We start from the raw sequence: 25,431 nt of genomic DNA on the forward strand, positions 1-25,431 counted from the left end.
AAAAAAAAAAGAAAGAAAAGAAAATAAAATAAAAAAAAGAAATTATGGTATGCTTTTGTTTCTAAACTCGGTGAAGAGACCCAGTAGCAGACAGCTTACTTGACGGACACTGATCAGCTCCACAGACTGTCCTCGCTCACTGTCTCCAAACAGCATTTTCAGTGCTCTTATGTGTATCAGGAAGATCAAAATACACTATACCATAAGTCCTAAGTGACGGAAGAGATTAGTTATTAAATTCTGGGGAAAGTTAATCATATTCACTTTGAAACTTTAGCTGAATTTGGATCTCACTAAGGGGAAGGGGCCAAGTCATCGGGGATGGGGTGGGAAGGACCGTGCAGGAAAAAGCAGCATTACCTCAAGGATACTAAACACCTGGCGTTTAGAAAGTGCATTTTCCCCATGAAGCATGTTTGACAGGGAAGCATGAGGGCTGTGCCAAGACAAAAGCAGAAGTGGTTCTAGGTGTCGAATTCATATAAACCTTGTTGTTTCAGAAGGTTTAGGTACATTTATGGATGCCAGCTCCATAACCGGTTCATTTGACTTTATTCTGTTCATTCTCAACCTCTACCACACCTCTTTGCTGTTTGCACTTTTCTTCTTTATTGAAGGAGCATGAGTCGCCTGCAGGCCTGGCACAAGCTGCTCTGGTCTCCCCGCCTTGGATGGTACCAGAGCACTGGCTGTTTCACACTTGGGCTGGGCCTACCTCACATGGCCCTACTGTCTCCCACATTGTCACCAGCTTCAGCCAGTGTCCTTTAGCCTGTGGGCAGGTCCACATTTGCACACCTTCTAAGTGGTCCCGGCCACAAGGACATAGGGGCTTGTTGGACATGCCCTTGAGGGGGTCCCAGGGACACAGATGTAACTTTCCCAGCAGGCAGTCCTGGAACCAGGAAGAGGATGGCTCCCTGGAGAGGAGCGATGACAGCTTTGCAGTGCTGGGGCCGGGGAAGGGCCAGTGAGGGGGTGGTGGAGAAGGCACAGTGGGTGGTGAAGGTTGGGTCATTTGGTCATGAGTCACTCTTTCTATAGCAGAGAAATGACACGGACCTCAAGCCAAAATCTGGGCTTGAGTTGGATTTGTTCCTTGTGAGTGTGAGAATCTGGTCCTGTTCTGGAGGCTGTCTGCTCTTGGGTTCCTTCACTTACCATTTAGGAACAAAAGCACTGACATTTCATAATTTTTTGAGGATTAAACCAAATGGGATTCATGGAATAACATATGGTTACACTGCCTCCTCCAACCCAGGAGTGCACATAGGGTGCATGCAGCAAGGTATCCCCATGCAGCCATCCTAGGGGAAGGGTCTTGTCCTGCATCGCTTTCTCTTCATCTGCACTAGCAGTCAATGCATTGCATTCATACGGCATCCAAATCACGCTGAGCGCCCAGCTCTACGAGATAAAAGATGAGGCCCTAGGAAGTGGGGAGACAACGTGAGTCACTGCGTTTGCAGCAGCACAGAAGGTCTGTGTGTCAGGAGTACCATCTCATTTACGTCACATTGAATTTGGCTTACTTTCCATCACTCACACTAGTTGAAGAATGCTGTGCCATTGGTAATCCAAAGGAAAATTTATTTTTATATATTTTCTTTTTCTTTTTTTTCTTTTCTTTTTTTTTTTTTTTTTTTGAGAGATGGAGTCTCGCTCCAGGCTGGAGTGTAGTGGCATGATCCCGGCTCACTGCAACCTCCACTTCCCAGGTTCAAGCAATTCTCCTGCCTCAGCTTCCCAAGTAGCTGGGACCACAGGCATGCACCACCATGTCCAGCTAATTTTTGTATTTTTAGTAGAGATGGTGTTTCACTATATGTTGGCTAGGCTGATTTCAAACTCCTGACCTCAGGTGATCCACCCACCTCAGCCTCCCAAAGTGCTGGAAGCCAACGTGCCAGCCTTTTAGAAATATTTTCTGTTTAGCTTTGGAATGCTTTATGTGATGGAAGGCAGCAGATTCATTCTTCTTTCAATTAAATTGACCCAATATATTGTGTTAGTCATTGTGCTAGGCTTTGAGGGTGCAAAGGCAGTTAAGACACAGACAGAAAATGCAACGAAATGGTGGTGAGCTCCATGAGAGAGGTACAAACAGAGCTAGTTCTGGTTGAGAGGGAAGGAAACTCCTGGGGAGGAGGTAGCATATCAGTCAGGAAGCGTGAGGTTTGCAGCAATAACAAACAACCCTCAGCTCTCGGTGGCTTAACATCCCAAAAGCTGACTGACTCCTCATTCATGCTACATATCCAGTGTGTGTCATTGTAGCCACTTAGGGTCACAGGTCACAGAGTTAAACCTCTCAGAAGAGAGCAGGGCATTGTGCAGTGCCTCCTTATGCTGCTATGTACAAGTGGTGTGTCCTCTCATTGGACATTTTCTTGGTTACCGCTAGCCATACTGCCATACCTAACTTCAGAGAAGAGAGAGTAACACCCTGGCCTGTGCCCAGAAGGCAGAGAGCTAAAAACATTCAATGAACAACACTAAAAAACCCCATCGGTGTCTTCGACCCAATATGCGGAAGGAGTATGAAGGAGAAGAGCTTCCAGGGGATGAAAAGCTTTATGAAAGCTGCCAAGATCAGAACGCCTGGCTGGAGAGAGGGGCTCCAAACAGGAATGCTTGGAGGCACGGTGTTAAGGGAGGACAGGGCAGAGTGTGAAGCTGGGCTAAGGAGGTTGGATTTGATCCGGGAGACACGGAAAGTCATAAAGGAGCTGTGGTTTCAGATTTACCTGACTGCTTTGTGTAGGAGAGATCAGAGGGTGGCAGCCCAGAGGCAGGAGATCTTTCTTAACCAGGCAAAGGGCTCTGAGGACTCGAATAGCGGTCTTCTAATGCGCAGGAATGGAAGGGCTATGCTTGTCAGCAGAGTCTTGATCAGATTTGGAACTAATTGGATATGAGATGTAAGCAGGGTGGAGAATCAAAGATGATTCCAGGATTTGAGCCTGGGAGAATGCTGCCATTAGAATTAGAGAAAACAGTGGAAAATGGGCAAGTCAGGGAAGGAAGATGGGGCTTGTTGATCTCAAAGCAGGGATTTTTATTTTGTTCACTCCTGTTTCCCTGTACCCAGGACAGTGCTTAGCGCCTAGTGTGTGCTTGGTAATGTTCATTGGCTACAGAATACAGTAGAACATAAATGGAGACGTCCCCAGGCGACCGCTAAGGCAGAACTGGCACTCCTTGGTGGTGTCTGTGCTGGGAGGGAGGTCTTCCTGTCTGAAGTCGTAAGATGAGACGTGCTGCCAAGAGAAAAAGCTTAGAGAAGAAAGGGATGAAACTGAAGGGAGAACTTTGGGAATCATGACATTTAGGACTAGAAAGGAGGACCGGAATCCAGGGAAAGGGGGCATTTGAGGAAGCATCAGATGCTGCAAGTGGGCGAGGGGCGTTGGGATGGCTCAGAGGGCATCTGGTGGCACAGCTCATGTCACTGGGCCTCCCCAGGGTAGCCGGGCGCAGGCCAGCAAGCGCCTCCCGCCTGGAGAACAGGAGGCTGCGTAGCCGACGGGGAGCCTGGGCCAGGGGCGGTTCTGGTTTCTGTTTGGTTTTGGGGGGTTCATAAATGCGATTTAGTCCTGTAGCAAAGTGAGCAAGGTGAAGGGGAGAGACCGGAGGCGCATGAGGGAGGAGGGAAAAGATGGTTGGCATCAAGGAGGTGGATAAAGGGCTGCCCTCCCGGGGCAGGGCCCCTGGAGGGCCGGAGGGGTGGTGAACGCCGTCGTGGTGATGGTGAGGGCCTTAGCGACCACCACCCGAGTGAGGCCCCCTCACCTTCAGGCCCAGAGCCGAGGGGAGGAGCCTCCCCCAGGGCCGGCGGGGGCGGGCAGGTGAGCCGGGCAGGTGCGCAGGCGAGCGCGGCGGGCTGGGCGGGCCGAGGCCACACCCTGAAACTACCTGCGTGGGCCGGGCCGGAGTGTGAGAGCGGAGCTGCAGCCGGAGAAAGAGGAAGAGGGAGAGAGAGCGCGCCAGGGCGAGGGCACCGCCGCCGGTCGGGCGCGCTGGGCCTGCCCGGAATCCCGCCGCCTGCGCCCCGCGCCCCGCGCCCTGCGGGCCATGGGAGCCGGCCGCCGGCAGGGACGACGCCTGTGAGACCCGCGAGCGGCCTCGGGGACCATGGGGAGCGATCGGGCCCGCAAGGGCGGAGGGGGCCCGAAGGACTTCGGCGCGGGACTCAAGTACAACTCCCGGCACGAGGTGAGCGCGGGCCGGGGACCCGGGGCGCTGGGAAGCTCCTGCCCGCCCGACCCTGCAGCGCGGCGCTGGGCTCGGCCGGCTCCCCTGGCGTGTCCGTCGGTGGCCGAGCTCTGGGCGCACAGGTGGAATTTCCTGTTCAGCGGGTGCCGGGCCGCGGGCGGGCGGGGCTGGCCGGACCTTTGGTACCGGACCGGCTGCGCCCCGCCAGGGGGAGGCGGGAAGCCCCTGGGCCTTCCTGCGCCCTCGGTCCTTTCTTTCCCTGAGTTGAAAAAAGGGGCTCCGTCTCGGCCCCTCCATGACTCTCGCGCTGTTAGTGAACATCTGGAAGAAACCAGGGGCTTGGAGTGGGGTTATTTGGGAGGAAGTGAAATTTCAGGAGGGTTTGGAGTCTCAGCCATCCTTGGCCTCTGCAGAAAGTTTCTTTCGTCTCTCTCCTTCCCCGTCAAAAGGCGCTTTGGGACCTCGCAGAGGACAACTGGGAGGCCAGGGCTTTGGCTGCCATACGGGCTGGAGCTAAGAACTCCAGAGTTGGGCTTGCCTGGGCTTCTCGAGAGGGGATGGAGCCCTTTGGGAAGGCGGCTGTATGGGAAGGGATGTGGGAACACACATGTCTTGAGCCTTTTGCGAAGTACCGAAACAGGAAGCTCTTCTTTGGCAGAAAGAACAATGAAAGACCTATTGAAAGATCTCAAAAAGATTACATGTTCCTGTATGGAGTTGGGGATGGGTCGCTAGTCACTTCATTGACGGACCCACCTAGGTGGTAGTGCCCGGGCGGGACCAGCAGCCAGGTCTCTACCCTCTCTGTCCAAGGCAGACCCCCAGGTTTCCTGGAAGGCCAGGGCATACCAGGTCAGGGCGGCGCTGAGAGGCAGGGGCTGTGTGGCAGAGAGTTTTGCTCCTCTGCAAATGATGGCCTCCCTGCCCTGCCAACCCTCACTTTCTCCCCTCCTTCCGGGTGCCCCTGGGCTCCATAGTCTCCGCCGTTGCTCCCTAAGTCAGGCCTGATTTTGGTGCTGTCTCAGATCAATTCCTTTTGTCCAAGCAGCATCCCGACCTAGGGAGCTTGCAGAAAATCAGACGCTGGGGCTTTGGAGGCTGCCTGCACCACAGACAGGACCTGGGGCTGGGCTCTGCTATTTTCTCCACTTTTCACCCTCAGCAAGGAGGAAAGCTTCCAGTGGACCTGAAGGCTTGGGCCCTTCCCCTGGCTGTGCCTGTGCCCTGCTGTGAGGCAGATTCACCTTCTCTTCCTTGCTGTAATTGCTATGTTTGTGTCCTTGCTAATTGCCTACTTGGGGTTCTAGACTCCCTGCCTCTTCAGCAGAGAACCTGCTGTTTGGAATTTGTTATTTCAGGGCAGTCCGGTGCCCCCACCCCAAGTTTGTTCTCCCTGACTTCCCTTTCTAGGACTCTCCTGCCCACACGGGGAAAGCAGGGTCTTCCTGGTCGTGTGGTCCAGCCTCCTCTCTGAGCCATCTCACCACCTGACAAGCAGCCAGGCTGGGGCTCACCTTCCACTCACCCCCAGGATCCCACATTCAGCGGACTTGTCTTGTCACCTGCAAGCCCTGGCTTTAGTTTCCCCCATCCCTGCTCATTTCCTCCTCCTCTGCGAAGCTCATTTGCTCTCTGCGCCCTTGGGCTGTTCCTTCCCCCTCTGCCATTTTCATTCTCTTGGCTTGCTCTTTGTCTTTTCTCCTGCCGAGCTTTATTGAACTAACTCAGTACCTAGTCCCATGGGTGAAGGGAAGGCTCTCAGAGACCAGTAAGATGTGGTTGTTTCCTTTAAAGAACATCCAGTCTTGAGAGCGAAACTAAGAGACGAATGCCAAAGTTAGCTGTGAGGCGGAGTGTCCAGAGGAAATTGGCCAAAGCTCATTTCCATGTCTTGCAGATTCCTCCCATCCCTGGCCTCACCAGAAATCCCAGTCCCTGGGATCACCCTGTAGTGTGTGTTTGCAGCTAGGATGTCCATCCCCGGCCGGGAGGTGTGGCTGCTGCCCCTGGGTTTATTATCTGGGTCAGCAGAGCCTGGCCCACAGGGTGCTGTTGTTTCTGGGTTCCTTGTCCCCAGTTGCATCCATCCGTGCACCCTTGTTTGGTGGTATTTGTATCTGGCTGTCCCCTTCCCAAGGCTGGTGGTGTGGCCCCTGCCCCACCCCTGCTGTTCCCATCAAGTGTTCTGCGTGGCCTTCAGAGTCCTGATGCACGTTACTGCATCTGGGGATGGTGTGAGCCCTGCCTGCAAGCAAGCAGGGAAACAGATGCCACTTCTTATGGCCATTAATGAGAGCCAGGGAGCCTGCCTCCCTGAGGGTCTTGATTCCTGTTGAGTATTTGATGGTGAATATGAAGCTGCCTTGACATCCACTGGTTCCTTTTCCGATCACAATTGCCCTAGGTAAGACTCAGCATCCCTTAGGCATCCAGAGACCAAGTTTGGAAAAATCGGATGTTGTGTGGCCAAAATCAGATGTCTAGGGGCCAGGGTGTACACCTCTGGCTATTCAGAGGGTCACCTGCTTGTTAATTTGTCAACCATTCAGGCATTCATTCACATAACAATATCTGCTAGGTAACCCACTGACTGAGCCTGTGCCAGGTGCTGGGAAATAGCAGTGAGGAAGACCCTAGACTCACAGCCCCTGTCCTTGGGACCACCCAAGGTAGTGTGGGGTACAGGGAACTGAATTCTGACTCATGAGTACTAGCTTCTCGATATGCACTGGGTGAGCACATGGCATCTCTCTAACCCAGGCTGGAAGGGCCAGGTCAGCAAATTAGGGCTGCAGGCATCTGTGATGTGGTGGCAGGAGGTAACATGCAGCCAAGACCCGGGGCCGCCTTGTCTAGCCACGTGATCTCAGAGATGTTACTCAATATCTCTAAGCCTTGGTTTCTGTGGCTATAAAATGGTGATGACATATATGTTCCAGGTTTGTTGAAAGGATTAAGAGGGGTACTTTACATGAAAGCCCTTTGTAAGTTGCAGTGTGGTGTTCAAATGATGCAGCTTGAGTTTTTGAGTTGAAAGGGACTTGAGACAAGCAAGAAGATCGTATAGTATCAGTAGGTCGCCTGTCGAGAGGCTGAGAACCCAGGCTGTCAGTGGGGCCCTGACCTCACAGAGGAGCCATCCTGCCCTGCCAAACACAGGGAAGTGCCCCCAGGATTCAAGGAACTGCTCGCCAGCAACAGAGACCTCTTCCTAAGACCTTCTGATTTTCATTCCCCTGCTTTACCCAGCTTCTAGGAGAAATATCTTTCTATGAAAAGAAAATGTGTGCCAGCTGCATATCCCTTTCTCCTTCTCATCCCCTGCCCCTCCCACCATAGAAAATTAAACTTTTATTTTGTTTTGTTTTTTAGACATGGGGGTCTTGCTATGTTGCCCAGGCTGGACTCAAACTCTTGGGCCCAGGTGATCGATCCTCCTTGTCTCAGACTTCTAAGTAGTTGGGATTACAGGCGTGAGCCACTGTGCCCACATAAAACTTTAGAGAACTGCCTTTTTTGTTCTCTAGAGCATGTGCTGGGCAGGTGTGTGCAGTGGGTGAGGAAGAGGGTTGGGAAGGCAGAAAGCAGCAGGAAGCTAGGATTGTCCTGTAGGTGGGGCTTCAGCTGCTGGAGTGGACCGGAAATCTGCCTTCTCCAGGGGCTTTCTGGAGCCTTCCCTCTGCCTTGGTCCTGAGAACACCTGGAAATTCCTCGTTTAGGAGTTGAGAAAACTGAGGAAGAGGAGAAGATGCCCCTAGTTTGATGGCTGCCTTCGCCTGCTAGCAGTGGAAATGGTCAGAGGGTGGACCTGCTCGAGCCGACTTGCTGGCCTGTTGCCACGTTGTCACCGGCTGCGGAAGGAGAACGAGTCACAGCTCCCTCCCCCTACCTGACCCTCACTCTGCTCCCTGGGAACCAGACTACCAGACTGCCTACTGCTGTGGCCAGTGGCTTCTGTCCCTCGGAACACTGTGGCCCTCAAGTTCCCTGATGTCTGCTCCTTCTCTGGTCTGTGGTTCTGCCAAGGCTGGTGGCTCATGTCTCTTTTAAAAGAGAAGTTGTCTTTGGAAGAGGAAGGGAAACGTGACAGAGTCCCCTGGGAGCCCAGGTCCTGAAGATGATGTTGCTTCTGATATTGTGCAATGATTACTGGAGTGTCTAGAATACTAATAATGATGAACACTAATAATCGTTAGCATTTATTGAGCATGGCTGGCTGCTTGTCTTTTTTCCTGCCAAGCTTCATTGAACTAACTGTGTACCTAGTCCTGGGTCAGGCATGGCTGAAGGGAAGTAAGATGTGGTCTTACTAGTCTTTGAGACCAAGTATTACCCTTCTCAGAGACAAGTGTTGTTATTACTGTTTTTTTTTTTTTTTAGACAGGGTCTCCCTCTGTCACCCAGGCTGGAGTGCAATGGTGCAATCATGGCTCACTGCCACTTTGACCTCCCGGCTCAAGCAATCCTCCTGCCTCAGCTTTCTCAGTAGCTGGGACTACAGGTGGGCACCAGCACGCCTGACTAATTTTTGTATTTTTTGTAGAGGCAGGGTCTTGCTATGTTGCCCAAGCTGGTCTTGAACTCCTGGGCTCAAGTGATCTGCCCACCTCAGCCTCCAAAAGTGCTGGGACTACAAGTGTGAGCCCCCACACCCAGCCTTATTATTATTATTATTATTATTATTATTATTATTTTGAGATGGAGTTTCGCTCTTTTTGCCCAGCTGGAGTGCAATGGTGTGATCTCAGCTCACCACAACCTCCGCCTCCTGGATTCAAGCGATTCTCCTGCCTCAGCCTCCCGAGTAGCTGGGATTACAGGCATGCACCACCATGCACGGCTAATGTTGTATTTTTAGTAGAGATGGGGTTTCTCCATGTTGGTCAGGCTGGTCTCAAACTCCTGAGATCAGGTGATCTGCCCACCTCGGCCTCCCAAAGTGCTGGGATTACAGGTGTGAGCCACCACGCCCGGCCCAGCCTTATTGTTATTACCTTTTTATAGGTGAGGAAAATGGAGCACATGGAGGCTAAGTAACTTGCCTGAGGTCGCAGAGCAAAATAGTGGCGGAATCTAGATTGGAGCCCAGGTAGTCTGGCCCTGTCATATCCTATGTGGGCTGTGACATGCGGAACAGGGCTGTCAGCCCACAGGGTTCAGGAGGGGATGGAATACTAAAGGTTGACAATTCATCAGATTTGGGTAAGAAACTGGATTTCTCTTCTCAGGTTGTTTCTGAGATGCCTGGGACTAAATTATAGAAACCATTTGGTAGGATGGGAATAGAAACTTACAGAATTCTCAGAGTTCTTAGCCTGGCCTGGTTGGCAGTGGTGAGAAGTGTGTTTGGGGTTTGCTCAGAGCTCATGGGTAGTAGTTGCCCTTTTTGCTTTGTTAAGAATCTTTCCAGAAGCAGCTCCCTGCTAAAAATTCTGTCTCAGATGCTCATATTTTCAAAATTTCCCTATTCTGCCTGGACTTAGCAATATTTTGGGATTTTCCCCCGAATCCTGTGATAGTTGGCTAACTGATCAAAATCTTGGATCCTTTGACTCTTTTTGGCCCACGTTGGTGATGCTGAGGTGGTGGTGGGGATGATGATGGTGGTGGCGATGTTGAAAGGGTGGAGAAGAATGTGATGACAGTTATTTCTACCTTTCACTAAATATCTGCACTTCAATTCCTGACCTCACTTTATCCTCACAACAGCTGTGTGGGGGAAAGAATGCCCAGTTCACAGACGAGAATACTGAGGCTCAAAGGGTTTGTGTAAAGGCAGTAAGAAGTAGAGTAAGAATTCAAACTCAGATCTACGCAACTTCAGAGCCTGGGAGCTCACCACCATGCCATTATAAAATTGTGTTCCTGAGATGATGGTGAAGGTTGCATATCCCCAGCAAACTGCTAGAACATGTTATTCACCAGAGAGCTGTGAGCACATAAGAAGGAAGTGGTGATCACCCGGTGCCAGTGCTGGTGTGCTACAAACATCATAGACCAGCTTGTCTGGTTTCCCCTTTTGATGAGGTTCCTTAGCTGGTGGACCAGGAGCACAGCTGGAGTTGTGATTTCAACATGCTTTACATAGACACAGCTTTATGTATTATACATATGATTAAAAATTATGGCGGAAGTTTTAAAATGAAAACCAATTCACCCACCTCTGCCAACAAATCACTTTTCACGCCTCTTTCCCCTCCTTGCTGTCTATGGTTCAATGTGTCTAGTTGGTTGTTGTGCACACACCACTTGTATCCTGGACAAGGTGTTTTATTGGCCTCCTGTCTGCTGGGTGTGGAGCCCTGGGTGTTGGAGGATCGAAGTTCTGGTAGGCTTGTGTCTGATTGAAAGGCTGTGCCTAAGGGGGGGTCTGTTCTTGAATCCACGTCACTTTGGGTGGTGACCTCAGGCTGCTCGTCACCCCTTCCTGGGTTCTGTGCCATTTCTTATTTAGTAACAGCTCAGATGAGGACTTGGGGCATTTGCCTACCAGCTCCACAGATGACACCAGCTGGGAGGGAAAGGCTGATACCTTGTATGACTTGATTATGAGTCAGAGCATCTGGACAGACTGTCTGATAGGCTGCGCTGAGCAGAATGCATCCGTCTGGGTCAGGAGTCAGTGCTTTGCTCACTGAACCACCTCCCTCAACCATGGAGCAGAAACCACGAGACCCAGAGTTCTGAGTTGACAGTGAGCCCAGGAGAGATCAGGCATGGAAGTGTGACTGCCCAAAGTCGAAGTGTGCTTTCTTCCCCCTATGTTTTTATTTGGTTATACCTTTTAAAGTTATTATTAAAAGTCTAATATATACATATTTAAAGAAAACTTAGCCAACTCAGATAAGTAGTAAGAATTTAAAAATGAGGCCGGGTGCGGTGGTTCATGCCTGTAATCCCAGCACTTTGAGAGGCCAGGGCCGATGGATCACTTGAGGTCAGGAGTTCAAGACTAGCCTGGCCAACATGGTGAAACCCCATCTCCACTAAAAATCCAAAAATTAGCCAGGCATGGCGGTGGGCACCTGTAATCCTAGCTACTCAGGAGACTGAGAGAGGAGAATCACTTGAACCTGGGAGGTGGAGGTTGCAGTGAGCCGAGATCGTGCCATTGCACTCCAGCCTGGGTGACAGAGCGAGACTCTGTCTCAAAAAAAATTTTTTTTAATAAAAATGACACAAATACCCCTACAAAGACATTTTAACAATTTGGTATTGCCTATGCATGTTTTCTAAAAAAATTTTTTTCCTCATTACCACATTTAGGAAGCTTTTCTTTTTGAAGTCACACAATATAGAAATGTACAGTGTAAAATGTGAAACTTCTGAAATTCCCTCTCCCAGATTTTAGAGCCTCTATAAATAGTTTTGTTTATATTCTCCCACAAGTCTTGTGTGTGTGTTCTGCTGTTTGTGTGCACACCTATTCTCCTCCAAATGGAATCATCACTAATTCCACTCTGCAGTAAAGATATGATTTTATTAATGAACTTATCAAACATTTATTAGATATCATACCTCATGCTAGATTTGTGGAGCAAGACAGACCCCCTTCCCTCCCCTATCACAGGAGTCTGGGAGGGAGGTGTTGGAGAGGGATCTCCCAGAATTACTCCAAGGAGATGCCTGAGCTGAATTTCGAAGGGCAGGAGTGACTATTTTTTTTTTTTCTGAGATAGGGTCTTGCTCTGTCGCCTAGGCTGGAGTGCAGTGGCGCGATCTCGGCTCACTGCAACCTCTGCCTCCCGGGTTTGAGCAATTCTCCTGCCTCAGCCTTCCAAGCAGCTGGAATTACAGGTGTGCGCCACTGCGCCAGGCTAATTTTTGTATTTTTAGTAGAGATGGCGGTTTCACCATATGGGCCAGGCTGGTCTTGAATCCTGGCCTCGAGTGGTCTACCTGCCTTGAACTCCCAAAGTGCTGGGATTGCAGGCATGAGCCACCGTGCCCAGCCTATTTTTTTCATTTAACATTCTATCTTAGATAGCTTTTCCATGTCATTATCTACTTTTTGAAAAACGATTTTTGATTGCCTTATAAGCTTTCATCGAGGGAACATATCATTCTTTCCATCTTCTTATTTTAATCGTTTTATTGTTTGGGTGTGTTACTTGAATGCATCATTGGACAATTAATAGAAAAAGAGCAAACAGAATGAGGAAGGTAATTGGCAAGCAGACCCTGTGGAGGCCACGCTAGTCAGACCTCTTGTGGGTTATGCTGGTGAATTCTGGAAACGGTGTCTTCAAGGGAAGATGACTAAGGGTGAGATGGAACCAGATGGCCAGGGTTTAGAAAACATTTTGTTTGAATGATCAGAGGAGTTGAGCATGTTTAGCCAGAGGAGGTGCAGACTGAGAGAGCACACGAGCACCGATGTAGAGCTTCCACTGGAGCGTCTCCTGAGTGGGGAAACTAGGCTGGTTCTGTTGCAGTGCTAATTAGTGCAGAGGTGATTGCAGTGCTGATCACACTTGGTGGAAGGAAGAGCTTCCTAATACTCGTACTAAGGAAAATGCTATTTCTTCCAAAAGGATGGTCTCGCGAGGATGAGAGGTGGGTGACATGCCCTGCAGAATCTGTCTCGGCTCTGAGAATCCAATTTCAAGGGTAGATCCAGCAGTTCTCCCCTCGCTTGTATCCTATTCCCCCAGGATAGAGTCTGGTTCTAATAGAGGACACAGACTTCCTGGTGCCCTCCCCTGGGGGTGGGGCCCCTCTGTTTGCATAGTTGGTCCTTTCCCCAAAACAGGTGCTCAGATTTGTAGCCATGGAAGCGTGTTTTAGAACTTACCCAGTTCTAGAGGCTGCAGGCAGGCTTGGGTTTTTCCCACTAGCTTCTGCAGATCCCTGGGTCCACCAAGTCAGAAACAGACTGTGGCACCTCCATGCCATGAAATATGACTCAGCACTGAAAAGGAACAAGCTGATGGATGCAACAACTTGAAAGACCTCCAGGGAATTTTGTGCAGTTAAAAAAAAAGCCAACAGTCCCATACATACCATATTATTTATTTATATAATATAATGGGTTTTTTTTTTTTTTTTTTTTTTGAGACAGAGTCCTGCTCTGTCCCAGGCTGGAGTACAGCGGTGTGATCTGGGCTCACTGCAACCTCCGCCTCCCTGGTTCAAGCGATTCTCCTGCCTCAGCCTCCCGAGTAGCTGGGACTACAGGTGTGTGCCACCACACCCAGCTAATTTTTGTATTTTTAGTAGAGACAGGGTTTCGCCATGTTGGCCAGACTGGTCTTGAAATCCTGACCTCAGGTGATCCACCCGCCTTGGCCTTCCAAAGTGCTGGGATTACAGGCATGAGCCACCACGCCTGGCCTATATAACATAATTTTTGAAATGACACCATGTTAGTAGTAGAGGACAGATTAGCGATTGTGGAGCTGAAGGGGTGGGGGACAGGAGGGAGGTGGCTGTGGTTACAGAAGGCCATGGGCATCCTCGTGTTGGAGCTGTTCAGAATGTTGACTGTGATGCCAGAGACAGGGGACTACGCTAGCGATGACATAGATGGAACTTAATACTTAACGTGAGTAGCGGTGAAACGGGAAGTCTGAATAAGATCCGCGGATGATACTGCTGTTGTGGTATTATGATACAGTTTTATGAGGTGTGACTATTGGGAGAAACTGGGCAAGGATCTCAGTATGATTTCCTACAACTGTATGGGAATCTACAAGTATCTCCATAAAAATGTCAGTAATGAAAGGCACACTAGCTCGTGAAATCAGAATGTGGATTTAATAAAAAGTCAAGAAAACGAATGAAAAGAAGTTACTAGGTGCTGGCTGCACCTCTTGTTTCTCTTGTCGGGTTTTGGGGGATCTGCCTGTTTGTGCTGCTGCAGGCAGATGCTTCTGCTCTGAGTCCGGTGACTTGGGGCAGGAGGAAGGTGGGGCAGCTGGGCCGGGAAGTAGGTCTTTGGCACATAAGGAGAGGGCTGGTGCAAACTAAATGGGATCGAAGAGGCAGAGATGGAATTTTCCGGCTAGAATTGGCAAAAGAGGTTATGTCCTGGTGTGTGTGTTTTGGGGGCGACACACTGAACTGAGGACCAGGAGAGATCCGGCAAAGTCGAACTTTAAATGGGGCCTGAGGACAGTGGGTGGCCAGGCCAGGTCTGACCCCAGAGAGCCTGGGGGACTGTCAGCAGAGCCCTGAGGTGTGGACTGAGTATTTTTTCCCCTTCTTGGTTGAGGGCACTTGGCAACTGGCAGATTATTCCAGCCTGCCCTGGGGAGGCTGCCTAAGTCTGGCTATGGGGAGAGAAGACCTTCCATCAACCCATCAATTAGTCAATCAAGTGCTAACTCTGGGCAAGGTTGAGGGTGGAGGGGGAGGGAGAGAGGCAGTAGGAAGAGGAAACCGGGGCACTGTGACCAGCCAGGACTTCCTGGTCCACCCAGCATGGTGCAGGTTGGGGAAGAGGTGAGGCCCCAGGGAGAAAGTACGGTGGCTTGTTGTGGTCCCGGGAGGATTCCTGGCAAGGCTCAGCTTTGGCCTGTGTGCTGGAGGGCAGGCAGGTTCGGTAGGCGGTAGGGGAGCCCAGCCATTCCGAGCAGGCAGATGGGTTCCTAACCGAGAGGTTAGGAACCTCTTGGTTCCTAACAGGCTTGGGGGCCTTTCTGGCTAGAGCCAACGTCAGAGTTGAGGGAGCCAGTGCCCTTAGACCAATGTTAAAGGAGTGACGACCCATATACAGTGGTGGGCACAGCAGGGGCCCGTCTCTTGGGCCCAAGAAGTGGGTTTTGTAGTAGATAGAGTTTTGCAGAGTGTTCCTTTTTTTTTTGTTTTTGAAATCAACACTGTATTTATTGATTTAGACTACTTTATTGAGGTATGATTGATATGCAAAAAGCTGTACCTTTTTGTGACATTACAGACAGGGGCCTGTGCTAGCAATGACATAGAATGGAACTTAATATTCACATGAGTAGCAGTGAAACGGGAAATCTGAATAAGATCCACAGATGATACTGCTGTTGTGCTTATCACGAATGACAGCAAGATAGTGTCAATTAAGACAGCCATTTCAAGCTACTGACATCCTGCTCTTTTCTCTTGTTTTTTGTTTCTTTTGTTTCTATTTAATGTGTACAACCTGATGAGTGTGGATGTATGGAAACACCAGTGATACCATCCCATAAGTTAGGCTGCAAAATATCCATCACCTTCCAAAGTTTCCTCCTGCCCTCTTTATCTATTATTCTATTTATTTATAATAATAATTACTATTTTGTGATAAGAACACTTAATACAAGATCTCTTATTGAAGGTATGGACCACCTTTTGTGTATCCATTCATTTGCTAAGGAAAATGCTTAGTTTGTTCCCACATCTTGGCTTCTGTGAACAGTGCTGCAGTGAGCATAGGATGCAGCTCTCTCTTCAGATCCTGGTTTCAATTCCTTCCTTTGGATAAATACTCAGAAGTGGGCTCGCTGGATCTGCAGAGCATGATCTCTCTGGGCTTCAGTTCGCTTTTCTGCAATATTGGGGGGGTCTCTTGAGTGGTGCAAGATCAAAGATAACCAGGTCCCCGCACGTTTGTGTCTTTCCACAAGGTCAGACTTTTATTGATGCAATTTCAATCATAAACACCACTAGCCACATGGAGTTCCCAAAAAGACAATTCTCCTTAGTACTTCCTGTTCACTCAGGAGGCAGAGCCTCGGGCACACAGGCTGAAGCCACTCCACAAGTCAGTCAACATTGCAAGCCATACATAATCATATACTTAATATATAAATGTATAGATTAAACATCCCACATCAAAGTAACATTTATCATCAAGAGAAAGGGGTTAGGAAAAAGGGTTAATGAACCAGTCCAGGGAGAGCCACGAAGACAACAAGACCCTCCTGCCCTGGCCTGGGCAGTCTGTCGGTTTCGTGGGGAAGAGTTTCTGATGTTGGCAGAGGCTTCGCTGGCAGATGCTAGGTGCTTATCATGAGTGACAGCAAGATAGTGTCAATTAAGACAGCCATTTCAAGCTGCTGAAGTCTTGCTCTTTTCTCTTGTTTTGTTTTTTTGTTTCTTTTGGTTGCTTTTTTTTTTGAGACAGGGTCTCGCTCTGTTGCCCAAGCTGGAGTGCAGTGGCGTGATCACAGCTCACTGCAGCCTTGACATCCCAGGCTCAAGTGATCCTCCCACCTCAGCCCGCTGAGTAGCTGTGCCACCATGCTAAGCTAATTTTTTTAAAAAATTTTTGTAGAGATGGGGGTCTCTCTGCATTGCCCAGGCTTGTCTCAAACTCCAGGGCTCAAGCAATCCTCCCACCTCAGCCTGCCAAAGTGCTGGGATTCCAGGCATGAGCCACTGTGCCTGGCTGTCTTCTTTTTTTTTTTTTTTTTTTTTTTTGAGACAGAGTCTCAGTCTGCCACCCAGGCTGGAGTGCAGTGGTGCGATCTCGGCTCACTGCAAGCTCTGCCTCCCAGGTTCACGCCTTTCTCCTGCCTCAGCCTCCCCAGTAGCTGGGACTACAGGTGCCCACCACCATACCCGGCTAATTTTTTGTATTTTTAGTAGAGACGGGGTTTCACCGTGTTAGCCAGGATGGTCTTGATCTCCTAATCTCGTGATCCGCCCGCCTCAGCCTCCCAAAGTGCTGGGACTACAGGCGTGAACCACCGCGCCCGGCCATTGCTGTCCTCTTCCTATGGCCACAGAGTCCTCTACTGAGGACAGACAGTGGAGGAGTGTGTATGTCCTTGTCTGGCTGGATGCCGTGTTTATTTATTTGCAAAACATCTTGTCCCTGTTGACAAAGTGAAACATAAGATGAGGTCTTTTTCTAGGATGGAGTTATTTATGTCAAGGGTGCTGTGTACGAGCCTCACGCATCTGCAGTGGGACCCTATAGGAGGGCAAAGAACCAGCTTCAGTGAGGACTGCCTGACACAACTCTCTTCTTTCCTTTCTGGGGAGCTGGTGCAGGGGAGGGTGTGGCGTCACCACGCGAGTGGTCAGGACTGAGAGCCCTGAGCTGCTGGGGCAAATACTTTTCTCTGTGCCTCAGTTTTCCCCCTCTTAAAAGTGGGTTAATAACCACTTACGGCCTTCCAAATAGAACATAATTAGCTAATTCCTGCTAATGACTGAGGCCTACCTACTGTCTCTCTTTGATTTTAATTTCTCCACCCACTGTTTATCCATCTGCCAAAAGCCAGGCAGCCCAATTCCTCCCTCTGGTCTGGTGGAGCAGCTGAAGTTCAGATTCAAACTTCAAAACAAACTGAAAGGCTGGGCGCGGTGGCTCATGCCTGTAATCCCAGTACTTTGGGAGGCCGAGGAGAGCAGATCACCTGAGGTCAGGAGTCGAGACCAGCCTGGCCAAATGGCGAAATCCTGTCTCTGCTAAAAATACAAAAATTAGCCAGGTGTGGTGGCGGGCGCCTGTAGTCCCAGCTACTCGGGAGGCTGAGGCAGGAGAATCACTAGAACCTGGGAGGCGGAGGTTGTGGTGAGCTAAGATGGTGCCACTGCACTCCAGACTGCGTGACAGAGCGAGACTCTGTCTCAAAAAAAAAAAAAAAATCAAACACCCTCCAACAAAAAAAATGAAAGACCTTAACAGCACAAGTCTGTAGTGTGGGCCTTAGTGAGGAGCGACCTGGCAGGTCTTTCCAGGATCCCAGGAGCCAATCCTTGGCTGGCCCACATCTACCCGCCCTTGTCACTCTGTCCCGACCCATGGCTCCAGGAGGGCTCTGCTGCTGTCCCGCTTCTCTGTAACCCCTCTGTCCACTTTCTCTGGGAGAGAGCAGAAGGCCAGCCAGGGTGTCCCTACCCACTTGCACCCATGGGTGGTTTACCCCACAAGACCAGAGAGTGCTGGCCAGGTCGCAGCATGCTCTGGGCCTCAGCTTACACATAAAGCTTCTGGTAGTTTCCAAAAACATTTTTTAAGACAATGAAAACCTTGTTTCAAATACTTTTTTTGCAGAGCCTGAAAATAATGAAACAATTGGCTTGAAGCAGGAGCAGGACACAGAGGGCCTCTGGATCATTCTTTAAGACAAGTTAGGGATTCAAAACCACGGACAGACCCACAGCAGCAGGAGGAGGGAGTCTGCCCACAGGCTGCAGCCCCAGGAGCTGCTTTTCCACCTCTGAGGTCTCCCAAGGGATTGTCCCATCCCTCCTCCTGGGGGCCCACAGCCAGGTGAGGGAGGCGGTGGCCACAGCAAATACACTCATTATTTTTGGACATCTTTGTGCCATGTAGGTGTCTTCAAGAAATATCACGTCCAATTCTTACAGCCGCTAGGCTTCATTTTCAGATGAAAAAAGGGTTAAGAGAGGAAAATTTATCAAAAACCCAGATAGCTGAAAGTGTGGCAGAGCTGAATTTTGAACCCAAATCTATCTGACTCCAAATCCAGTGTTGCTCTCCTGGGCCCTCTGCTGCTTCTCCTGGGGGTGAGGTGTGTGGGTGTGGGGTGGGGGTGGGGGTGGCAGTTATTACCAACTCCCCGTATAGAGCCACCCTTGACATAAGTAACTCCATCTTAGAAAAAGACTTCATCTTCCATTTCATAGGGCACTTTGCCCACAAGGACAAGGTGTTTTGCTTGATAAATTTAAAGACTGCAAACAAACAGACAAGCATCCTCCTCCACTGTCAGTCCTCACCAGAGGACTCTGTGGCCATAAAAAGAGCAGGACTTTGGCAGTTCACCCTCTGCTGTCACTGGTGATAAGCACCCAACATCCACTGCCAAAGGCTCTGCCCACATTACAGACTCTTCCCTGAAAGACTGATGAACCAGCCAGCCTAGCCCAGCCCAGACTTTTTTTGTCTTCGTGGCTCTCCCTGGACTGGTTCATTAGCCCTTTTTCCTATCCCCTTTCTCTTGGTATGTTTTTCAGGTTTTGCCATAAATGTTACCTTATGGGTACCTGATAATTACGCGTCTAGTATATCTTGCATGGCTCTGCATGCCGAGAGAGCATTCATGTAGGAGAACTGCAGGTTAGGTGGTACTCCTAACAGAAGTGTTCTCTGAATTTCATTTATGACTGGAATTTCAAGCGGAATGGCAAATTCATTATATCTATCACGTGCCATCCCTAAGATAGCTGATTTTCTTGGATTCGTTTGTCCTTGTGTTAGATTTTTTCAAGTCCGTCTCCAGATTTTGTTGGGTCTGAATATGGGTGGACAGATCTCCAGGCTGATGTGATCCAGTCCCAGAGGGCTAGAACATATCTTGGCTGATTGGTGGGTTTTTTTTTGTTTTTTTGTTTTTGAAATGGAATATCACTCTTTTCTTTTCTTTTCCTCTCTCTCTTTCTCTCTCTCTCTTTCTTTTTGTTTTTGAGATGGAGTTTTGTTCTTGTTGCCCAGGCTGGAGTGCAATGGCGCAATCTCGGCTCATCCCAACCTCCGTCTCCCAGGTTCAAGTGATTCTCCCACCTCAGCCTCCCGAGTAGCTGGGATTACAGGCATGTGCCACCATGCCCGGCTAATTTTTTGTATTTTTAGTAGAGACGGGGTTTCTCCATGTTGGTCAGGCTGGTCTCAAACTCCTGACCTCAGGTGATCTGCCCACCTTGGCCTCCCAAAATGCTGGTGGGATTACAGGCGTGAGCCACCACACCTGGCCTGGAGTCTCACTCTTTCTTGCCCAGGCTGGAGTGCAATGGTGCGATCTCGGCTCACTGCAACCTCCACCCCCTGGGTTCAAGCGATTCTCCTGTCTCAGCCTCCCGAGTAGCTGGGACTACAGGCGTGTGCCACCACATCCAGCTAATTTTGTATTTTTAGTAGAGACGGAGTTTCATCATGTTGGCCAGGCTGGTTTCAAACTCCTGACCTCAGGTGATCCACCTGCCTCAGCCTCCCAAAGTACTGAAATTACAGGCGTGAGCCACCACATCCAGCCTTGGCTGATTTGTGGTTCTAATGGTTTATGGTTTGGTAGTTTTATAATAGCTCATGACAGTTTCCTGCTCGTGTAGGGATGCAATGCGTTTCTGTGCCTGATAGTGCCGTGGTGTCTGCTGCATTCTCCCACAGATGTAGGGGCCAGTCTGCATCTGTGCTCTGTCTTTGGCAAAAATCTGTTCTCAGTTTCAGTAACTCTGCTGTGGTGTAGTCTCCGTCCTCACTGGTGTCCTGAGGACTGTGATTCTCATAGTTATCATTGGTACCTCTTTTTCTAGTTATTATAGGTCTTGCTGTATATACCCACCCCAAGGGTCATTGTAATGTCCTAAGTTCTCTGCAGGGGGTTCCCTTGGTCCCAGGGGTTCCTCCTTAAAAGTTACCCCTGACAGGGATTTACTTTTCCTTTTTTTTTTTTCTTTTTCTTTTCTTTTTCTTTTTTCAGACAGAGTCTCGCTGTGTTGCCCAGGCTGGAGTGCCGTGGCGCAATCTCGGCTCACTGCAAGCTCCACTTCCCGGGTTCACACCGTTCTCCTGCCTCAGCCTCCCGAGTAGCTGGGACTACAGGTGCCCACCACCACACCCAGCTAATTTTTTGTATTTTTAGTAGAGATGGGGTTTCACCCTGTTAGCCAGGATAGTCTCGATCTCCTGACCTCATGATCCGCCTGCCTCGGCCTCCCAAAGTGCTGGGATTACAGGCTTGAGCCACCGCACCCGACCTACTTTTCCTTAAAATTCCTTGAGCTGGCTCTTTGCCTGTCTGGCGATCTGTGAGATACTTTGCATTAAAAGTACAGGGATTTTTTCTTTTAGGGCTTAACTTTTTTTTTTTTTTTTTTTTTTTTTTTTGAGACGGAGTCTCACTCTGTCACCCAGGCTGGAGTGCAGTGGCATGATCTCGGTTCACTGCAACCTCTGCCTCCTGGGTTCTAGTGATTCTCCTGCTTCAGCCTCCTGAGTAGCTGGGACTACAGGCCCATACTACCGCACCTGGCTAATTTTTTGTATTTTTAGTAGGGATGGGATTTCACCGTGTTAGCCAAGATGATCTCGATCTCCTGACCTCGTGATCCACCTGCCTTGGCCTCCCAGAGTGCTGGGATTACAGGCATGAGCCACCGTGCCTGGCGGGGCTTAACATTTTTAGGGTCCTCAAGTCTGACTGTACATCCTCAGGGGGTCATACAGGGAGTCTTTCTGACTTCCAACTCTATTTGGGCAATGGTTCGATTTCCCACCTTAGCCAACCGGATGAGTAGGGGTTATGCAATAATTGGCTTCCTCTTCTTTCAGCCGAGTTAAAAATTTGTTTTTAGGCCGGGCGCGGTGGCTCACGCCTGTAATCCCAGCACTTTGGGAGGCTGAGGTGGGCAGATCACGAGTTCAAGAGATCAAGACCATCCTGGCAAACATGGTGAAACCCTGTCTGTACTAAAAATACAAAAATTAGCCAGGTGCGGTGGCAGGTGCCTGTAATCCCAGCTACTCGGGAGGCTGAGGCAGGAGAACCGCTTGAACCTGGGAGGTGGAGGTTGTGGTGAGCCGATATGGCGCCATTGCACTCCAGCCTGGGCGACAAGAGCGAAACTCCGTCTCAAAAACAAAAAATTTTTTTGTTTTGCCAACTGCCATCTCCTAAGTTGAGACCATGCTTGCTATGAGCCTTTCTGGCCCCACTAGCTTCCTAGCCTGGCATCAGCCGAGACCTTGTCAGCTCTTGGAGCTACAGGACCTGGGTAAAGAACCTCATCACCTGAGGTTTTCCTCAGGGAGCTAGACTTTCAAGGTGAAGTGAGATGACGTCTCTTTTTGAAGAGGGTGGCAGTTTGTTTTTTCAAACGGCTTGATTTCTAATTTAAGTTTTAGTGGAGGCTTTCGCCTTAGCATCGACTATACCACCTATGCCCAGTAAGCTGACTGTGCCAATTCTCATGAGCGGTGCGAGGTCCTAACCGGGTCCATGCACCTTTGTGTCTTTCCACAAGGTCAGACTTATTGATGTGACTTCAATCACACAAGGCGCGAGCCGCATGGAGTTCCCAAAGAGACAGCTCTCCTTAGTACTTCCTGTTCACTCCGTAGTCAGAGCCTCAGGCACACAGGCTCAAACCACTCCAGTCAATATTGCAAACTATACATAATAATATTCTTAACCAATATATAAAAGTATAAACATTCCACATCAAAGTAACATTTAACATCAAGAGAAAGGGGATAGGAAAAAGGGTTTAACAAACCAGTCCAGGAAGAGCCACGAAGATAAAAAGAGTCTCCTGGTGTGAGCTGGGTCATTTGTCGGTCTTGCCGGGAAGAGTTTCTGATGTTGGCAGAGCCTTCGTTGGCAGATGCTGGGTGCTTATCACGAATGACAGCAAAATGGTGTCAGTGAAGAGGGCATCTTGAGGTGCCGAAGTCCTGCTCTTTTTAAGATGAAGTCTTTTTCTAAGATGGCGTTACTTATGTCAAGGGTGCTCTGTACAAGGCTCCTGGTCCCTTGGGCTGCGTGGGGAGGGCCCTGGGCAGTGCTGGGAGTTGGGACGGGACTTGAAACCTGCAGGAGCTGGCTGCTCCCTGGCAGAGAACCGCTGGGTTTCTGTGTTGACAACGTCCTCACAGCTGGGCTGAGTCAGGTCCTGGGGGACTTTCCTTCAGGCTGTAACCAGGTGTGGGGACTTGTGGTTTACTTCCTTCAGTGGGAGTTCTTGGCCGTGGGTCAGCTTTGTGTTCCCCTGATGGGCTGGGGTTACAGATCTACAGATATTTCTGGATCTTCCTTGGGGCCCTGCAGCCCCACCTGTTTTCCAGCAGCTCCTTCTGGCGGGGCGGCTGAGGGCGGCGACGGGTCAAAGGGAAAGGTGGGCGGGCCGGGGTTTTGGGGTGTCTGCCAGCAGCTGGCTGGGTCTGCAGCTGGCCCTGTGCTCTCCCAGGAGGAGCTGGAGTGTGTATTTCTGGGAAAAGTGATAGCCTCAGGGACTTCTGGGATGATGCTTATAACCAATTGTGGGAGGGTCCCCAGGGCGTGGAAGCAAAGTTCGACCTGGCACAGCAGCTTCCCTTCATCCCAGGTGGTTGCTCAAAATAGACCAGCTGAGACTCTAAGCCAGCTTCTCCTCCTGGTGACAGGAAGGGGTGAGCCTCCTGGAAATGGTGGGTGGAGTTTCTCCAACTTTCAGGTTCCCAAGAATGACCTGGAGCACTTGAATAAAAACTTCCACATCCGAGGCCCTGCTCCTGATGCATGACATCAGCACCTCCAGGGAGAGGGGCTTGGGAATCTGGATGTGGAACAAACACTGCATTTGTTTCAGTTGATTGTTATTGTTCTTTTTCATGACCAGACAAGTCCAGGAAATGCTGGGGGTTGCGATCAATGGGAACCATAGGCTTTTGCAGGTTTCGTGAAAATTGGCTTCTAGAGAGATCGATTACCCCTGGTTGGGGAGTGGGTGGGAGGATTCCAGTGTGGCCTTTCTTTTCCTTTCTCATTTGCCCATCGGTCATCCCCAGATAAGCACTCAAGTGTCCTCTTTTATGAGGCCCCGTGCTGGGCCCTGGACTGCCATGGTGGCAGGTGGGGTGAAGTCCCGCCCTCAGGAGCCTGCTGACCGCCTGCTCTGTGCACAGCTGCTGGAGCTTCCCCGGGGCTGCTGATTTAACTGGGGAGGGCCTGTCTATGTGGGGTCCCTCCTAGCCGGAGACAGGTCCCTTTTATGAACAGCAGCCTGATGAAGAGGCCTTCCTGCAACATGCCTCTGGTATCATTCTCAGCTCAGCATTGCCCAGGGGACAAACACAGAGTTTGTTCTTGGCAGTCATTCCCTGCTGTCATCTCAGGTGGGCTTGAGCCGTGCTGGGTTTCCGGGAAATCTGGCCAGGATCCAGCACAACCTTTAGCCAGTCCGGCAGGGAGCGGCCACGAGGTTGTGCTGGCTCGGTCTTTCCCTTGCAAAGGAAGGCATCTTCGACCTGCCACAGAATGCTTTCTTCCCCGGGGAAACCCTTGCAGGTGCTCGGGCTCTACTTTCCTTTCTCGCTTGAACAATTACAGGGATAGTTTATGGTTCTCATGACCCTGGTGGGGGTGATGACATCATGGGATTGAAATCCGTCCCACCTTGGAGTCACCGAGCGTGTCAGTCAAGAGCCTTGGCCACAAATCAGTGGCACTTGGCAGCAGCACACAAATCCAGCCACCCTGTCCTTGTCTCAGGTCTGGGCAGCACAGCTGTGTCCCTAGCTGGTGGCATCGCCCCTGCCCCTTGACCTTGATCTTCAGCCTCAGAAGCAGGCTACCCATTGTCATGTGACTGCCCTTCACGGTCCCTCCCCAGGATTCCAAGGGGCCTCTTGAGGTTTCCAGGTTCAGCCGCTTCCTTCCCAGCAGATCACACCCAACCTTAGCCACATGAGGAACGATCTTTAGAAAGGGTCTGGCCCGAAGCTTCATTTTTCCCTGTCTGCTTTGGTTGGAATCTTGTGTGGCTTTGTGTGCAGTTGGTAGTATTTTTGTTGTTGGTAAGTGTAGGGGCCCTTCCCCATTGCTTTTCTCTAAGGATAACCATGCTCTGAGCAGCCCATGGCAAATTCTGGCTTTGGACTTGTTGGTCCCCAGAGCCAGTGGGGTCGTGGGCCCTGGAGAGTTTGCACTCAGTGGCAGGTCTTAGTGTGTGTTTGAGGAACCAGGAGAGCGTTCCTCTCAGAGGGAGGATTCTCTGGTTGACTCACACAGAGTTTTGTTGGCTCAGCATTTAGCTTTCAGCCCTGGTGAGTTTCTCTGACTTAATGGGAGTAGGCTGGCTGCAAGAATCTTTCCTATATTATCAAATAAAATAGGTCTCTTTTTTGGCCCTCTAGAAATCAGTGTTTTTTTTCTTTTCGTTTTGGAGAGCCCGGCCTTGGGGAGGATATGCATCAGTTGCTCTAGTGTGCCTCAGACAATGAGATAAGATGAAATAGGGCGTGCTCTAGGACCTCTCCACTTCCCCTTCCCGGGTTTCTGGATCTGACCCTTCGCTCCCTGCAGAAAGTTGGGTGAGATGGCAATGGTCCGATCTCATCCCTGCTGGGTGGGATGGCAGTGGTCCCTCTTGGGTGAGATGGTGGTGGTCTGATCTTGTCCCTGCTGGATGGGATGGCGGTGGTCTGATTTTGTCCCTGCTGGGTGGGATGGCGGTGGTCCCTGCTGGGTGGGATGGTGGTGATCTGATCTCGTCCCTGCTGGGTGGGATGGTGGTCTGATCTCGCCCCTGCTGGGTGAGATAGTGGTGGTCCCTGTTAGATCCTGGCCCTTTAGGGTCTGTACCCTGCTT

The 25,431-nt window shown here is 50.2% G+C and overlaps 1 protein-coding gene across 1 annotated transcript in view, besides 4 other annotated features; it reads left to right on the forward strand.

The window, feature by feature from the left end:
- Positions 3,816 to 3,935: a silencer, noted in NCBI's record as "silent region_4078". NCBI's record gives its function as "represses an Ori minimal core promoter by ATAC-STARR-seq in GM12878 lymphoblastoid cells {active_cell/tissue: GM12878}" and the evidence as "EXISTENCE:reporter gene assay evidence [ECO:0000049][PMID:35858748]".
- ST14 (ST14 transmembrane serine protease matriptase) overlaps positions 3,937 to 25,431 on the forward strand; it is a 50,581-nt gene continuing 29,086 nt past the window's right edge. Inside the window, exon 1 of the mRNA NM_021978.4 lies at positions 3,937 to 4,215. Coding sequence (NP_068813.1) covers positions 4,135 to 4,215 — 81 coding nt within the window. The 5' untranslated portion in view covers positions 3,937 to 4,134. The remainder of the gene's footprint in view (positions 4,216 to 25,431) is intronic.
- Positions 4,016 to 4,085: a silencer, noted in NCBI's record as "silent region_4079". NCBI's record gives its function as "represses an Ori minimal core promoter by ATAC-STARR-seq in GM12878 lymphoblastoid cells {active_cell/tissue: GM12878}" and the evidence as "EXISTENCE:reporter gene assay evidence [ECO:0000049][PMID:35858748]".
- Positions 5,173 to 5,672: an enhancer, noted in NCBI's record as "H3K4me1 hESC enhancer chr11:130030913-130031412 (GRCh37/hg19 assembly coordinates)". NCBI's record gives its function as "activates a minimal SCP1, AML or CMV promoter by ChIP-STARR-seq in naive H9 embryonic stem cells {active_cell/tissue: H9 hESC(naive)}" and the evidence as "EXISTENCE:reporter gene assay evidence [ECO:0000049][PMID:30033119]".
- Positions 24,933 to 24,992: an enhancer, noted in NCBI's record as "active region_5752". NCBI's record gives its function as "activates an Ori minimal core promoter by ATAC-STARR-seq in GM12878 lymphoblastoid cells {active_cell/tissue: GM12878}" and the evidence as "EXISTENCE:reporter gene assay evidence [ECO:0000049][PMID:35858748]".

The sequence above is a fragment of the Homo sapiens genome, chromosome 11 (assembly GCF_000001405.40).
Source record: "Homo sapiens chromosome 11, GRCh38.p14 Primary Assembly".
In the NCBI taxonomy this organism is placed as follows: Eukaryota; Metazoa; Chordata; class Mammalia; order Primates; family Hominidae; genus Homo; species Homo sapiens.